This window comes from Homo sapiens, chromosome 6, assembly GCF_000001405.40.
Source record: "Homo sapiens chromosome 6, GRCh38.p14 Primary Assembly".
In the NCBI taxonomy this organism is placed as follows: domain Eukaryota; kingdom Metazoa; phylum Chordata; class Mammalia; order Primates; family Hominidae; genus Homo; species Homo sapiens.
In genome coordinates this window covers 34060362-34077016 of record NC_000006.12, presented here as the reverse complement: position 1 = coordinate 34077016, position 16655 = coordinate 34060362, and the positions used below count along the sequence as shown (strand labels likewise).

General features: G+C 55.7%; 1 protein-coding gene across 6 annotated transcripts in view, besides 1 other annotated feature; it reads left to right on the top strand.

Moving 5' to 3' along the window:
* The window catches only part of GRM4 (glutamate metabotropic receptor 4), a 136980-nt gene that overhangs the window by 78606 nt on the left and 41719 nt on the right, over nt 1-16655 (top strand). For all 6 annotated transcript variants that reach the window (NM_001256809.3, NM_001282847.2, NM_001256811.3 and 3 more), the window contains one exon: nt 14989-15124. In NM_001256809.3, coding sequence (NP_001243738.1) covers nt 14989-15124 — 136 coding nt within the window. The remainder of the gene's footprint in view (nt 1-14988; nt 15125-16655) is intronic.
* Nucleotides 12965-13546: an enhancer, noted in NCBI's record as "H3K27ac-H3K4me1 hESC enhancer chr6:34031248-34031829 (GRCh37/hg19 assembly coordinates)". NCBI's record gives its function as "activates a minimal SCP1, AML or CMV promoter by ChIP-STARR-seq in primed H9 embryonic stem cells {active_cell/tissue: H9 hESC(primed)}" and the evidence as "EXISTENCE:reporter gene assay evidence [ECO:0000049][PMID:30033119]".

Below are 16655 nucleotides of genomic sequence, written 5' to 3'. Positions count from 1 at the left end.
CCAGCATACAGGAAGAGGCCCTGCCCCTTGCCCTTGCTCCCCAAGGCTCTCCTGACCCTACTCAAGGCTGCTCCCAGGATCCAAGCCTGGAATCCCCTTTCCCTCCCTACCTGGTTCCTGTCTTCCACCCCCCATGTCCCCCATCTAGCCAAGCAAGCCCCCAAGCGTTGAGGCTCCAAGCCTTTTCCCAACAGTGCTAAGAGCCTGGGGAAGTTTTCTGGGGTGGGGTGGGGACTTCTTCAGCTCAAGGCTCACATCTGGGCCCTGGGCCCCAGCCCCCAGCATCTGTCCATCAGCTTCGCCAACCTGAGTCCCCACAGGCCTGTGTCTCAAGAAGGCCTCTCCTGCTGCCCTGGGTGAGGCTGGTCCCTGCTGCCGTGCTCACTTTGGGAAGGCATCCTGTTACCACCCCCTCCACCAAGGCCAGCTGACGGAGCTCTCACATCCATCTTCTTGGTCCCTCCTCCCCGGTGTGGGCCAGCAGCCCCATTTTCCAGCTGAGGAAGCTTGGTGGAGTGAAGGGATTGTCTGGTTATATCCAGTGCTGGGGCTTGACCCAGCCCCCCGGTTTTCTGTATTTCTTGCTGTTCTGCCACCAAAAGGAGTGGCCTGCGGGAGCCAGAGCCGGGCTCTTTGCCACCCCTTGCTCCTAGCCTGGCCTGAAGAGGAGGGGCAAGGGCTAGCTCAGGAGAAGGGTCCAGGGGGACTTCATTACCCAACGCCTACTTGTGGCGGTGGGGTGGGTGGGAGGGGGCATCGAGCCTGCCTCTGGCAGGGAGACATGCTTGGCCTGCCTGGGTAATTACATCTCAGCATTTCATTTTGCTTTTCAGTTTCCACTTCCAAGGGATGTGGGCTCCTAAATATTTCATCCCAGCCTGCACTGTCTGTTCTTCTCTGGCCAAGCCACATGCCCAGCTGCTGGCCTATAACCCTGGCCAGGCCCAACTGCTGGCCTGACTGTGCCTCGGCTCCTGCCATGGAGTGGAGCTGACGAGGTCATCTTCCCCATGCCTCTCTCTGCCCCAACACAGGGTCTCTGCCACTAGCCCAGCGCTGGCTCCCATTCCCAGGGTATCTGGGGTGAATAGGCTGGGGAGACAACATTGTCAGAAACTAGGTTCATTTCCGCTATCGTCGGTTGAGCATGGAAACGGGGTGGTTAGAAATGGGAAAGACACAGTCTGCCCTTGAAGCGGCTCATGGGCTGATGGAGGAAACCAACAATAAGAGTATAATAATAATAAACACTTCCTGAGCACTAATGTGCCAGGAACTGTTCTAAGCACCTTATGTATATTAACTTGCTTATTCTTCACACTTTGTTATGTGGAGATAAGGCTCAGAGAGATTAAGGAACTTGTCCAAAGTCACACAGCTAAGAAGTAGCAGAGCTGGGATTTGAACCTGAAGCAGGCCAGTTCCAAAACTGACCACAGCACAAAGTGGAGGATGGCAAGTGCCAGTGGAGAGGAGCAGACGGGCACGATGAGCTTCCACTGCAGGAAAGGGCTGGGATATTTCATGGGGGAAGAGGCAGAGAAGTGGGGCCCTAGGGCTGGATGGGGTTGGGCAGATAGAGACGTGAGAAGGGCATTTCTGGCAGAGGGACCAGTACTGGGAAAGGTCTAGAGGGGAACGTTCTGGCTGAGTTGGAGAAAGTGGTCCTGCTGTGGTAGAGGTGAAGTGAGGCGGAGGAGAGGACTGGAAAGCGATTTATGACCTCCTCCACCAGGGTGTCACTGGAGTTGGGGAAGGTGGGAAGAAACTTGGGGGCCTTGTCCTGTGAGTGGCTCCTCCAGTATCCTCAGCCACACTCCACAGTGTCCCGGCCTTGACCGTGGCCTGAGGCGGGGACAGAGCCATGCAGTCAGGCTGAGGGCCCTGCTCGCCACAGCCCCACTGCACTGCCCGCGGGTCAGACCAGGGCATGACCTCGGTAGGGACCCTGTCCCACACTCAGCAGTCTTGGGTCTGGCTCCTGGTTGGCCTCTGACGCTGTGCAAGCCTTGAGCAGACTCCCTTCCCTTCATGAACTGAACCCAAGAAATGGGTGGGATTCCCTCATCAGTGAATGCTGGGTACAGCCACTGAGGGTGGGGGACAGTAGGGCCTGGGTGGGTTGACCTGGGGTAGGGACCTCTGGGGGGCTTTTGGTGGGGGCCAGGAACCAGCCATCTCTTTGTGTCCTGCCCCATCCAGGCCCCTCCTGCCACCATCTGCCTCCAAACACCACGGCTTCCCTTTTCTATTATTTTTCCGCCTTTCTCGCTTCAAAGGTGTTTTGCCTAAGTGGGTTTGTGTTGAGATATTAAGTCGATCACTCAGCAAATTTCCCTCTGCTCAGAGCCTAGCGCCATGAATAATGCAGCTGTGAGCCACACTGCTTGCGCTGCCCAGCGGCCTCCTCTCCTGGCAGGGGACGGCAGGGCTCAGCTCTGAGCCACACTGCCTGCGCCGCCCAGCAGCCTCCTCTCCTGGCAGGGGACGGCAGGGCTCAGCTCTGAGCCACACTGCCTGCGCTGCCCAGCAGCCTCCTGGTAGGGGGCGGAAGGGCTCAGCTCTGAGATGTTGAGCCTCACAGCTGCCCTGGCAGGTCCTCCAAGGCCTGCATCCTCCTCCACACCCCAAAATATCCCCTAGGGGCTGACCCTGTCCACGGGCAATCCGCTCTAATCCTCACCGCAACCCTGCTATGTCTCGGGGACAGGGTTCATACCATCCCATTTCACAGATGGGGAAATGGAGGGTTGGAGAGTGGGCAACGTGGCTTTCATCACGAAGCAGTAGGTGGTTGAGATGGGACATGCCCCTGTCTGTGCCCAGACTCCGCTTCCTCATATCACACTAGTCTGGCTGTCGTATGTCTGTGTCCCCCTCTTCTTCCCCATCGGCGCCCCTGCACCTCGAGATCCAGCCCCGTTCTCCTGGCAGGGGAAGGGATGGGCAGGAATGGAGAGCCTGGTGGCAGAGGTGGGGTTTCAGAGGCAAGAGGAGGGCTTTGCCTTAATGTTCTGGCCACAGAGCCGCTCCATGAATAGCCGTGCCATCCCCTCCATCCAGTTGCTGGACCATAGGCCCCTCCATGGTCACCCCAGCCAGTGAGGACCAGGCCAAGGGAGGAGGTGCTAATGGTGCTGAGGTGTGGCTGGGCCCCCAAGCAGTGTGAGGGGTGTGAGCTTCTGCCAGCCCCTGGTGCATGCTAGGGCCTCGCAGGGCCTCCGTGGGAAAGGATTCAGGCTAATTGGGGCATTCACTGGGGAGACTCAGCAAGGAGGCGTTTCTCAGTTAAGAAGAGATGGGCTGGAGGGGTGCTTTGTTCACGTGCGGTGACTGTGTGAGAGCCACCAGGCAGTGTGAGGGTGGGGGTGTGGATGCTTCACGGTGGGCACCGCCTGCTTGTGCTTAATGGAGCAGGGTTGGCCATGGTCAGGCAGGCTTGTTATATGTGACTGTCCAGGGTTACCTGTGTCTGTGTGTGGTGTATTTGTGACTCTGTGTGTGGTTATGTGTATTTGTGTGTGGTGCGTATCTGACTGTGTATGGTGATGTGTGGATGTGTTTCTGTGTGTGGTATGATGGTGTGTGTGTGTGTGTGGTGTGTATGTGACTGTGTGTGTATCTGTGTGTAGTGATGTGTATGGTGTTATCTGTGTGGGGGTGTGAATCTGGTGAAGTGTGAGTGTGTGTGTGTGGTGTGTATCTGTGTGGTGATGTGTGGATGTGTGTGTGGTATCTGTGTGGTGACGTGGTATCTATGTGGTGATGTGTGTGTGTGGCATGTATTTGGTGATGTGTGTTTGTGTGATGTGTGGGTGTTTGTGTAATGTGTATTTGTGTGGTGGTGTGTGGGTGTGTGTCTGTGGTGATGTGTGTGTGTGTGTGTGGTGTGTATCTGTGTGGTGATGTGTGTGTGTGGTGTGTATCTGTATGGTCATGTGTGTGGTGTGTATCTGTGTGGTGATGTGTGTGTGTGGTGTGTATCTGTGGTGATGTGTGTGTGTGGTGTGTATCTGTGTGATGTGTGTGTGTGGTATGTATCTGTGTGGTGATGCATGTGTGTGGTGTGTATCTGTGTGGTGATTGTGTGTATGTATCTGTGTGGTGATGTGTGTGTGGTATCTGTGTGATGATGTGTGGGTGTGCATCTGTGTGGTGATTGTGTGTGTGGTGTGTATCTGTGTGGTGATGTGTGGTTGTGTGTGGTGTGTATATGTGTGGTGATGTGTTTGGGTCTGTGTGTGGTGTGTATCTGTGTGGTGTGTGGTGATTGTGTGGGTGTGGTGTGTAATCTGTGGTGATATGTGTGTGTGGTGCGTATCTGTATGGTGATGTGTGTGTGTGTGGTGTGTATCTATGTGGTGATGTGTGTGTGTGTGGTGTGTATCTATGCGGTGATGTGTGTGTGTGTGTGTGTGGTCTGTATCTGTGTGATATGTGTGTGTGTTGTGTATCTGTGTGGTGATGTGTGAGTCTGTGTGTGGGGTATCTATGTGGTGATGTGTGTGTGTGGTTTGTATCTGTGTGATGTGTGTGGGTGTGTATCTGTATGGTGGTATGTGTGTGGCGTGTGGTGAGTGTGTGTGTGCTGTGTATCTGTGTGGTGATGTAAGGGTGTGTGTGTGTGTGCTGTGTATCTGTGTGGTGATGTAAGGATGTGTGTGTGGTGTGCATCCATGTGGTGATGTGTGTGTGGTGTGTATCTGTGTGATGTGTGTGTGGTATCTGTGTGATGTGTGGTGATCGTGTGTCTGTGTGTGCTGTGTATCTGTGTGATGTGTGTGTGGTGTGCATCTGTGTGGTTTGTGGTGATTGTGTGTCTGTGTGTGGTGTGTATCTGTGTGGTGATGTATGGGTGTGTGTGGTGTGTATCTGTGTGGTGATGTGTGTCTATGTGTGGTGTGTATCTGTGGTGGGTGGTGATTGTGTGTCTGTGTGTGGTATCTGTGGTGATGTATGGGTGTGTGTGTGGCATGTATCTGTGGTGATAGGTGTGTGTGTCTCTGTGTGGTGTGTATTTTTGTGGTGATGTGTGGGAGTGTGTGTGTGGTGTGTATCTGTGTGGTGATATGTGTGTGTCTGTGTGTGCTGTGTATCTGTGTGGTGTGTGGTGATTGTGTGTCTGTGTGTGCTGTGTAGCTGTGTGTTGATGTATGGTTGTGTGTGTGGTTTGTATCTGTGTGGTGCTGTCTGTGTGTGGTGTGTATCTGTGTGGTGAGTGGTGATTGTGTGTCTATGTGTGCTGTATATCTGTGTGGTGATGTATGGTTGTGTGTGGTTTATATCTGTGTGGTGATGTGTGTGCATGGTGTGTATCTGTGTGGTGTGTGGTGATTGTGTGTGGTGTGCGTCTGTGTGCTGATGAATGGGTGTGTGTGGTGTGTATCTGTGTGGTGATGTATGGGTGTGTGTGGTATGTATCTGTGTGGTGATGTGTGTGTGTGTGTGGTGTTTATCTGTGTGATGTGTGTATGGTGTGTATCCGTGTGGTGATGTGTGGGTATGTGTGGTGTGTATGTGTGTGGTGATGTGTGTGTGTTTGTGGTGTGTATCTCTGTGGTGATGTGTGTGTGTGGTGTGTATCTGTGTGGTGATGTGTGTGTCTGTGTGGTGTTTATCCATGTGATGTGTGTGGTGTGTATGTGTGTGGTGATGTGTGTGTGTGGTGCGGTGTTTATCTGTGTGATGTGTGTGTGTGGTGTGTATCTCTGTGGTGATGTGTGTGTGTGGTGTGTATCTCTGTGGTGATGTGTGTGTATGTGTGTGGTGATGTGTGGGTATGTGTGGTGTGTATCTGTGTGGTGATGTATAGGTGTGTGTCTGTGTGTGGCTAGGGGTTGTCTGAAATTATAATTGGATGCAAATATGTGTGAGGTTGGGGATTTACATGACTTGCGTGCCCGGGTTTGTGGGTGTGTATGTGGAGGATGTGATGGGATTGGGTGTAGTGTGTGTGTTTGTGCGAGGCTGTGTGATGACTGGGTGAGCCTGTGTGGCTGTGGGACTATGGGATCTGTGACTCTGTCAGTGTGTGCGTATGGCCCTGTGCCCATCTTTGTGGCTATGAGGCTGTACGAGGTTCTTAGTGGGTCCATAAGTGTGATGGGAGCTGTGTCCCTGGTGAGCGTGTGTGACCGTGAAACTTTGTGAGCTTGTGGTGGTGTGTAGTATGTGATTTTGTAAGGGTGTGCATTGCCGTGTGTGTGTGTGTGTGTGTGTGTGTGGCTGGGGGTGTGGCGGGGGTGTGGTGGGGGTGCTGAGAGCCTTCAGGAGGGAAAGGATGTGTGTGCTGCCTTGGATAATCCTGGTGCCCTGGTCCCCCCGCCCAGCTGTAGACCTCCCCAGCCCTGGGTCCTGGGTCCTGGCCTGGCTAAGTGATGAGGCCCCTGTCCTCCGAGCTCCTGCCCTCCTGCCTCAGCAGCCCCACCCCACTAGGCCTTACCCGCTCCCCAGAGGTGTTGGCTCCAGGGGGCAGACCTGCACAAACACCACTACACTGGGCCCTCACACTAGCCCTATCGGGTGGAGTTTAAACTATCAACTGAGTCACCTGTCTTCAGGCAGGGCCCTTGTGACCCGGTGCCTTTGCACAGCCAGCATGCACCTTTCTTCACTTGCTCATCCTTTGCAGGCCGATTTCCTGAGCACTCATGATAAGGAATTGATGTCTTGGTGGAGAAAGTAAAATCCCAGCAGAAGGCAGGACGGAGGGAGACGTCCAGGTGCACGTGGGTACCCACCCCACGCGTGTGGACGCTGAGCACAGAGTATCACTGTGGACCAGAGCAAAGTAGATGCCAGGCTCAAATGGGGTGTCCAGTGGCTGTGCATGTAAGGAGGTGGCAGCTCAGAGGGGAGGTCACCGAGGGGATGGGAGCGTGTGAGCAGGTGCGAGTGTTCACCTCCAACTCCTACAGAGCCTCTGCCCTCACGCCCATGCTGGCAGCTCCTGCCGAGCTGTCCCTTCAAAACCCCGTCAGTCAGGAACTCAGTTCTCCATTCGTCCAGCAAGTGTGGATTACCGCCGTCCTGGGCAGGCCCCGCACGTGTCCTGGGCTCTGTAAGGCCCCAGGCAGAAAGACCCCAGGGAGATAAATGCAGTCCAGCCAGGGAAGAACTGGGTGGGGAGCTAGAGGGTGGCTGAGCAGCTGAGGTGGGGGTGCTCCTGGCAGAGGGAGCAGCATGTGCAGAGGCCTGTTGGGGGCACAGACGTGGCCAGATGGGTGGATCCTGGTGGGGACTGGGGCAGTCCTGGATGTTGCAGTAAATCCAAATTCACTGGGTGCATCAGGGAGACCCTCCTGGGAGAAGAGGCAGGCGCTCAGGGTCACACACACACACACACACACACACACACACACACACACACTGGGGGCTGCCAAGGGTTGTAAAGCCGGGAGTGTGTTGAGGGGCTGGAGACTGATGAGCTGGGGAGCGGGGTCACACGCAGGAGCAGATGGGGCAGGGGTGACAGGTGACGGGAACTAGGCCTGGCCCTCTGTGCAGTCCCAGATCCAGCTGGAGCCAGCCCAGCCCTCGTGTGTCCCGCACCCAGCTCACTCTGGAGCAGCCGCATGGGGAGGGCCTTTGCTGGGGCCTGGTGTCCTTCTTACCTTGAAACCCCCTCTGGCCACAACACTGCTGCCTGGGCTCCATTATTTACATTCAGGCTTCGCCCCCAGCTGAAAATAAAAGTAGCAGTCACCAGTCACCAAGCCCTCTGAGCAGCTATTTCTGGTCCCCTTCCTGAGAGCTGTTTTGGGGAAGGGCCTGGCTTTGGAAGTCAGAAGGAAGGAGCCGTGTGTGCGTGCGTGTGTGTGTGTGTGTGTGTGTGTGTGTGTGTGTGTGTATACGCCCATGAGGGTCCAGGGGTAGCTTCCAGCCCCTGTCCTCCCCTCTGTCCTCCCCTATGGGAGCCGGGGGGACCTGCTCTCCTGCCCCTGTCCCTGTGTGTAACTCCCCACCCCCTACCCCACTGGAAATTGCTGCCTTCACATTTTGCCATAAGGTAGATTTTTCCACTTGAATTCCTAGGGTTTGTCTTTTCATTATTTTCCTCTCTTTTTAAATTAAAAAAAAATTCTTTTTAAAGGAAGGGAGAAAGCGAGGATGTGCCTATGTCTCTGCTGGCCTCAGGACCAGCTGGCTGGGCCCCGAGAGGCCGGGCCTGGAGACCACCAGAGCGAGCTGGCTCAGGGGTCTGGAGGAGGATTTTTCTCCTTCCTTGTCTGGAGCCCAGTGTCCAAGGTGACAGCCTGGGGGACCCCTGACTGTCTCCCCACAGCAGGGAGTGGGTGAGGCAGGGCACAAGCCGGCTCCTCTTACGGGAGGCCTTTCCTTTCAGCCCGCCCAGGCTGACTGCATGAGATAGGCACATCCCACAAGTGGTGGTGCGGGGGGATGGGTCTTTGAAGGCAGGTGATCTGGAGGCTGCTGGAGGGCTGGCCTTGCAGGATGGAGGGGGGACTTTTTGAGACAGGTGGGGTGGGGAGAGCCATGCCAGGGAGGATGGGGAAGTGCTGCAAGGAGAGCATCCCAGGCACAGTGGGGGCTCAGAGGGTCCTGCCACGGTCAGACCTCCTGTAAACCTAAGCTCACCTCAGGCTCAGACAACCCCAGGTCGTGCAGGACAGAAATGTGAATTCATTTAGCAGCACGTCCCGCCTCACTTGAAGGTAAGTGGGATTTACAAGTCCAGAGTGTTCTCAATTCCTGGGGTCTCGGGCAAGGCAGCAGCTCCTAGAGAATAGTCAGACCCGAGTTCAGATCCAGCCTCTGCCTCTCCAGCTGCGTGGCCCAGCCCAAGCCTCCCTGTTCTCCAGGGTGAATCCAGGTGGGCTGAGGGGATGCAGCCCCCCCGTCTCCCTCCAGCACGTCATGCTGCTGCTGTCCTCCTCTGCACCGATTCCAGGATGTTTACGGTTCCTTCCCACCCTGGGACGCAGGCTGCATGGCGCCGGGCTTCTGTCCTCTGCATGGCTGCATCCCAGTGTCTCACGCCATGCCTGGCACATAGGAGGCGCTCAGTACACGTCTGCGGGCTCCACGAAGGGAAAGTGGTGGCAGCAGGCAGGCAGGTGATGTGAGAGGGGCCTGTACTTCCCTGAAGATGTGCCTGCAGATGCTCAGTAAATGTGGGCTGCTGAAGAATGGTGCTTAGGGGTTGTGCGGTGGGGGTGTGGCTCCAGGGGGCCCTTCCTCTGCCACCTGCATGCTCAGGCTGACCCGGAGCACTGTCTCCTTGTGCTTCTGCTCAGGATGATGGCTTTTCCTTCTGGTCTTGCTTCCCCAGCTAGACTGAGAGCTCCTGAGGAAGGAGTCTTACTCAATATCATTTCTTAGGGACTGACTATACCAGGAACTGAGCAGGGCAGTGGAAGGAAGGAGGAAGGGAGGGAGGAAGGCATGAAGGGAGGAAGAAAGGGAGGGAGGAAAGGAGGGAGAGAGGAAGGAAGGGAGGAAGGGACAGAGGGAGGGAGGAAGAAAGGGAGGGAGGGATGGAGGAAGGAAGGAAAGAAGGAAGAAAGGAAGGAAGAGAGGGAGGGAGGGAAGGACGGAGGGAGGGAGGGAAGGAAGGACGGAGGGAGGGAAGGACGGAGGGAGGGAGGGAAGGACGGAGGGAGGGAGGGAAGGACGGAGGGAGGGAGCGAAGGAAGGAGGAAGGAAGAGAGGAAGAAAGGAAGAAAGGACATAGACCTGACCCTGACCTTGGGAAGTGCAGCGGGAGGTGGACATTGACACAGTTATGTCAGCTGGGCCTGGAGACCACCAGGAAAGGTCACCAGACCACAGATGGAAAGGACGGAGAGACTGAAAAATACGACAGGAAACTGATACCAAGTTTCATCCACGAAGTGTCTATGTCATGTTCACGTGGGGATGCCTGAAGCCTGGGGTGGTGACGGTTCCAGCTCACACCAGCGGAGGGCTGGCCAGGTGAGAGCCTGCTCTCACGGGACGATGGGATTTCAGGAACCACACGGCTGGGAGGACAGGGGCAGCCCCAGGCAGGTGGGCATGGAGGAAGGTGGAGGAAGGCAGGCAGCTTCCCTATGGAAGCCCCTGGGCTAGCTGCGGCTATGCAGCCCATTTCACAGATGAACACAAGGAGGCTCTGGTGTGCCCTGCTGTGTTCTCTGTCAGGCGGCACCACGTGAGGACCGCGGCACCCTTGCTGTCACCCATATCTAAAAGTTTTGTCCAGCTGGGGTTCTGTGGCCCAGATTTGCTGAGTAGTCCCATGTTGCCACATCTGCTTGATTCTGATTATTTTTTTAAAGAAATAAAACATGGATTGAGTCGGAACCTTCTTCAGTCCTGTTCCTCTCTTCTCCCTTGAGGTAACCATGATTTTGAGAGGTGGCAGGTTCCCTTCCTGTCCTTGTTTAGTCACTCAGCGAACACTTGAGAGCACCTACTATGGGCCAGGCAGTGTTCTAGGCACTGGGGAAGAGTGTGATGAAAACAACGGACAAAGTCTCCCGCCCTCATGCAGCCTTCACTCATATATGTATAGTACATATATATGCATCTTCATAAATATTGTATGTGGTCTTTAGATTTTACATAAAATCTAAATCCTGCTGCAACTTGCTTTTGTCCGTCAATTTTATGATTTCAGGATTTGTCATGTTGACACATGAGAACTGTTATTCATCTTAACTCCATAATATCCCATTGGGCAAACACACCACAGTTTATTCATTCTTCTGTTGTAAAACATTTAGGTTGTTTCCATTTTTTTGCAGTTTCAGACAGTGCTGTGTTGAGCGACTCTGTGTGGGTCTCCTGTGCCCACGTGCCGGGGTTTCCCTGGGGACGAGTGTGGACGGGGAAGCACTGGCTTGGAGGCAGCCGGCACGTTCAGCTTTACTAGACGCTGCCGTGTGGTTCTGCAGAGGGTTCCAATGGACACGCCTTGATCAGGTGTCCAGCTGTCTTGTAGTAAAGGCGGGCCCCGAGGGATGGGGCCAAGCATAAGTCGGTTTTGATGGGTGGGGTAGCCCAGGGAGGAGGGGAGGTGTGGAACCTGGGCGGGCTGGGGAGGAGGCGCAGAGCTGGGAGAGATAGCGGTTCCTGCTGGAAAGCAGTCAGGGGCTGGCCTGGATCCCAAACTTCCCAGCGCAGTGGTGAGAGCCTCGTCTGAAGGTGGCTCTGCTCCTGCTACTGTGTGCCCCTGGGCAAGGCCTCTCTGGCCTCTGTCTCCTCACTCTCCATCCAACTTGGGCCAGGAGGTCTCCAAGGTCCCCACGGACTTGATATGCTCAGATTTTCTTGGCAAGAGGCTGTGGCTTCCTGCCCCTGGCCGGCGAGCAGACGCACCAGCTTGGCCGGGATGGCAGAGCTTGCAGCTGGCAAGTGGCATTCGGGTGTTTGTCAGGAGCCTGGGCGGCTGGGGTCCTGGCAGGAGGCTGGGCAGGGGCTTGCCAAGGGAGACCCAGGAAAGCCAAGGAGGCCATGGGGACCCCCAGACTTCTTCATGTGTGTCCCCCTCCCCGTATGGTCCTGTGCCTGGAGCCTGGGGAGTGGAGGGCTCCAGCCTCTGCCCTGAGATACGGAGTGGGCTTGTTCCCTGAGGGCTTTGTGGGCTTTCATTTGATTCTATCTACTCTCAGTATGGACCCATGGATTCTTACTTTATTCAACGAGAGAGACTTGGGGCACAGGGTGAGGAGGCGTGCCCCTCCCTAGGGGAGAGGTTAGAAGCAGGCGTCTGCGGGAGTGTTAGTCGTGTGGCCCAGGGGCTGGGCACAGGGATGGCTGGTGGGCTTGGTGTGACTTTGGGTCTGTAGCAGCGTGGCCTGGAATGCACAGGGTGGGCTGTGGTGATGGTGGATGTTGATCTGTGCCAGTGCGTGCATTCTGTGACTGTGTGTGGACACATGTGTGCACACATGTACATGAACCCACCTAAACAACAGGGGCTGCAGAAGAGGCTCCGGCACATGAAACACTGCCCCTTTATTCTCAGTGGCTGCTGCGGAGTCATTGCTTTGCAAGGAAAGGGAACTGTCCAGGAGCGGCTGCAGGAAATGGGGGCCTCTCCGCCTCAGGGAGGCTCTGGACACAGACCAGGATTGCAGTCCCACTGACTGGCTGTGTGACCTTGGTTAGGCTATTTAGCAACCTGAGCCTCAGTTTCCTCATCTGTGAGATGGGGATATTAGCACCGGCTAATGTGTAAGGATTCATTGAGACTGGGCCTCGCATGGTGCCAGGCATGCAGGGGGTGCTCAGTGGCCTCTCGGGCCGCTCTGGTCTTCTCTGGCTGCAGCAGGCACCAAGAGAGCAGTTGAGGCAGAGATTGTGCCACTGCCAGGAGCTTGTGTCATCCCAGGAGAGGGCCTGGCTTGTGAGCCAGTTCCTTTACCCACTCCCCTGAGCGGACATGCTGACAATAGGGCTGTGAAACAGAGGGAACCCACGGGCACTTGGTTTCTCATCCTGGGGGCAGCAACACCAGTGGGCACTCACCCCAGCATGGGCACCATGCCCCATCATGCCCATGGGCCCACAAGCCCCCTCAACTCCACAATCCTATCCATTCACTACATGACTGGATGAAAGGTGGCCGCTGGAGCCAGATGGCCCAAGTTCAAACCCCACCTCTTCCCCTGACTATCTTTGTGATCCTGGGGAAGCTACTTAACCTCTCTGTGCCTCAATTTCTTCATTTATAAATTGGAGATATGGTGATTACACTGGCCTCAGATGAGTGAATCCATGTAAAATTTGCAGAATAGCATTTCCCATGCATTGGACACTCCATAAATGTTCATTAGTATTACGGAGCTCTGCACACCCCCGCCCCCCGCACTCCCTTCTGGTCTGAATCTCTTGCAGTTGCAAGAATATCAAACCCTCCTCAGACTGCACTTGCATCTCAAGTTGCTTGTGGCTCACTCACACTCCCGCTGACTGAGCCGTGGTCACCTAATCCTTCCTTCACCAGCAAAACGAAGCTTGCAAGATATGCCCTGAGGTGCCAGGCAAGACCATCACGCGGATCCTCTTAGAGGAGCATCTCAGAAATATGACTTAACCTAACAGTTTCTCCCTGTTTGAGAGCAATTAACTCCCTTCTCCTGCCTTCCTTCCCGCTCCTGGAGCCAGGTGGCTCATCCTTCCCTTCCCTCTCCTCCCAGTCCAGCCTCTTCCTCTGTCCATCTGTCTCCCCAGATGGGGGGAGGAATGTCGCAATTGGCCCACTTTCTAAGTGGAAAGAAACCATATGGAGGGTTTAGCTGGGAACTGAGAGCCGGCCCGGCCAGTGGTGCAGCCAGTGGCTGCCTCCCTTGGCTCCCTCTGTGACCCCAGACTGACAGGGGCCCCAGTCCTGCCCAAGCACCTTGCTCCTTCTCCCCCCTCCCCATGAGCTCCTAGTAAACATGCTCTTCTCTAGCACTTGGGACTTCTTGGTGTCTTAGGAGAGACCTGAGGAGCTGTGTGTGTGTGTGCACGCACATGTGCGTGTGTGTGCATGCGTGTGTGTGTGTTGTGTCCTGTGGCCCCAGGCCAGCAGGGTGCCTGGCACAGAGCAGCCACTCCTTCCAGAGCGTACCCTGTTCTCTCCAGAATGCCTGCCGCCTGGCCACTTGCATCCTCTGAGGACTCAGCCCAGTGTCACTGCCTTTGGGCAGCCTTCCCTGGCGGCCATCTCCCTGCCCACAGGTAGGGACCCCTCCATGGGTGGAGCTGGGTGCTGGCACTGCCCTGTGGGGCTGGTGGTAGTCGTGTCCCCGGCACTCTGAGCCCCTGGCAGCTCCACCCAGAGTTTTCTGATGTAATGGGGCAAGTCTGTGTAGAAGGCTCAGGTGGCCCCAGCCTGGACCTCCAGGTCATTTGGAAGCCCAGCGGTGCCCAGCCTAGGTGTTTGGTTTGAGGCATTGTGTTGAGTTGAGTGGGACCCAGAGGAGGGCAGCCCTTAGATACCAAGACCGGCTTCAAGATTAATCCCTCATGCTTTTCCATCGACTGCCACCAGGGGCTTCTGGGGTCTTATTCTCTGGGGGTCTCCAGCTCCTGGACTCCAGTAGGGCAGGTAACTGTGTGGCTTTGGGTAAGCCACTTCTCTTCTCTGAGCTTCAGTTTCCTCATCCGTCAAAGGCAGTGGCTGACACAAGCATGGCCCACAGATGCTCTGTACCACGAGGTCGGGTGAGATTTAAATACGTGAATGACATCTGTCCCCTGCCAGCACTTGAGAGGCACATCTGGGGCTGGGGATGGCTGGGACAAAGTGCTCCCAGGGTCTCTGATGGCCACCCAGCCTGGTCGTGAATCCTGACAACATCAAGTACTGACCCTCTCCTGATGGTTCCAGCCAGTGGCCATGCACGCTGCTCCTACCAAGGGCCTGGTGATGGGCATGGGGCCCAGGGACAGGAGTCCTGAGAAGCACATGGATATGGGTGTAGCAGGGACTGATGCCTCAGGGTGGGCTCTATTCCCAGCTTTAACCCTCCAAGAAACATTGTGAGCGGGTTACAATAAAAATAATCAACATTTACTAAGCACTAGGTACCGGATGTTGTCTTTATATGCATTACCTCACTTGTTTTATAACAGTTCTATGAAATAGGTAATACCATTATTTCCACTTTATAGGTGATGTATGTTCATCACAGAGAGGTCCAGTAACTGACCTAAGGTCACACAGCAGTAAGTGGCAGAGCTGAGATTTGAACCCAGGCAGTCTAGCTCCTAAGCATGATGCCGTGCTGCTTCTAGCTGCTATATGGGGAAACTGAGGCTCAGAGTACTTAAGTGACATATCCAGGGTCACCAGCTGGTAAGTGGAGCCAAGACTGGCACTGAAGCTGTCCTGACTGCACAGCCCATATCCAGAGGCTGGGATCCCAGGGCTGGGAGTCAGGCTGGGGAGCCTGGGCAGCACCCAGCCCCCATCTCCCGGAGTGTATGTTGGGAGAGTGGTGGGGAGACTCAGGTTCCCCTGCCCACCCCAACTAACTGGTGCCCCTCCTGCAGGGGGCGTGTGCATCGCCCAGTCGGTGAAGATACCACGGGAGCCCAAGGCAGGCGAGTTCGACAAGATCATCCGCCGCCTCCTGGAGACTTCGAACGCCAGGGCAGTCATCATCTTTGCCAACGAGGATGACATCAGGTGAGGGCAGGTGGCAGCAGGGTGGGCACCGGGAGCCATGCAGGTGTGGGCAAAGCCACGGGTCCTGTCCTGCTGGAGACCTTCCCAGGCGAGCCTGACCCCACCCTGGGATCCAGAGAGGTGGGTGCTGGTGAGTGGGTATGTGGGCAGGGAGACCCACAGGCTAGAGCACAAGCTACTGCTATGGGGCACTCCTTCCCTCCCCTCTCCATTTCCTGCATCCATTCCACCTGCTAGGGATGGCTACCTGGGTGCTTTAACAGAGGGCTGAGGCCGTGAGCTTGGGGCCGGACCACTTAGGTTCTAATGCTGTTCTCCCACCTACTAGCTGTGTGACCCCAGGTGAATTTCTTAACCTCTCTGGGCCTCTGCTGCTAAAAAACAAATGAGTTAATGATACCTGCCTGATAGTGTTTGAGAATTCAATGCAGGAATGTGCATAAAAGGCTTAGAGTAAGGTCTGGCGTGAAATAGGCACCCAGTAAATGTGGGCCACCTCAGCCCCTCCCTCCTTTCTGTGGTGAGCTCAGAGTACAGAGAAGAGCTCTGGGCTGTGTTTGGTTCTAGTCTTGGCTTAGGCTCAGAGAGCCCAACCTGAGGGGAGACACAGCTCTGTCCTCACGGAGCCCCAGGATAAGGGGAGATACAGCCCTGCCTAGAATCTGGCAGGGCCCTCTAGTCCCTGCTGGTCACCTCTCCTTCAGAGAGGAGGCTGAGAGCAGATGTGGCCCCTGCCAGGTCTCCTCAGATATCTGGCCCGGGCTGGCAGAGCCTGCTGTGCCCTCAGACTCCCCCTCACTGGACCAGCCAAGGCTGCTCCGTGTACCCAGTCCTTCCCAGGAGGCTTCCTCCTATTCCTCACCAGTGCTCCCAAGCCATTTCTCATGTTCTAACCTGGACTCCAGAGTTGCTGCAAAACAGATACCCTCCCAGGCCATTGGTGGGTCCCTGGAGGGATGGAGGAGGGCTTCTGGAAGATCATCACGGCCTCAAAAGCCAAAAGGACAAACTGCAATGGTTGTCTCAGGCAGCGAAAGGCCAGGGAGGGGAGGCCCTCAAGCCCCATCCTGACACCCTCAGAGCTGCACAGAGGCGGCACCCAGTCCCTTGAGGTGTGCAGGTCCCCTGAGTTCTGGCTCTGAACGTGTATGATGGCCACCGCTCAGCCAGCTCCTGGGGAAGCTTCTGAGCCACCGGGCCCCACTCCCTGACTTCCTGCCCCCTACTCCCATCCCAAAGCCTGGTAAGATTAGGCTCCCACACCGCACCCAGCTATGTGCCTCACTCCAGGCCTGCTGTTTTTGAGGACACCTTCAGCTCAGATGGACCCACATTCTGGGAGGGGGACTGAAAGCACTTGGCCTTTTGTCCCAGCGAAGAAGCCCCTAGGGGAGGGCTGGAAGGGAGCTAGACTGACTTCCAGAGCAGGCTGCGGGAAGTGGGGTAGGAGGCGGGGGTCATTTCTGGAAATCCACACGCATTTTCAGAAGCAAACAGAAGTAAAAATAAACCCAGGTGACTCTGCAGGGCT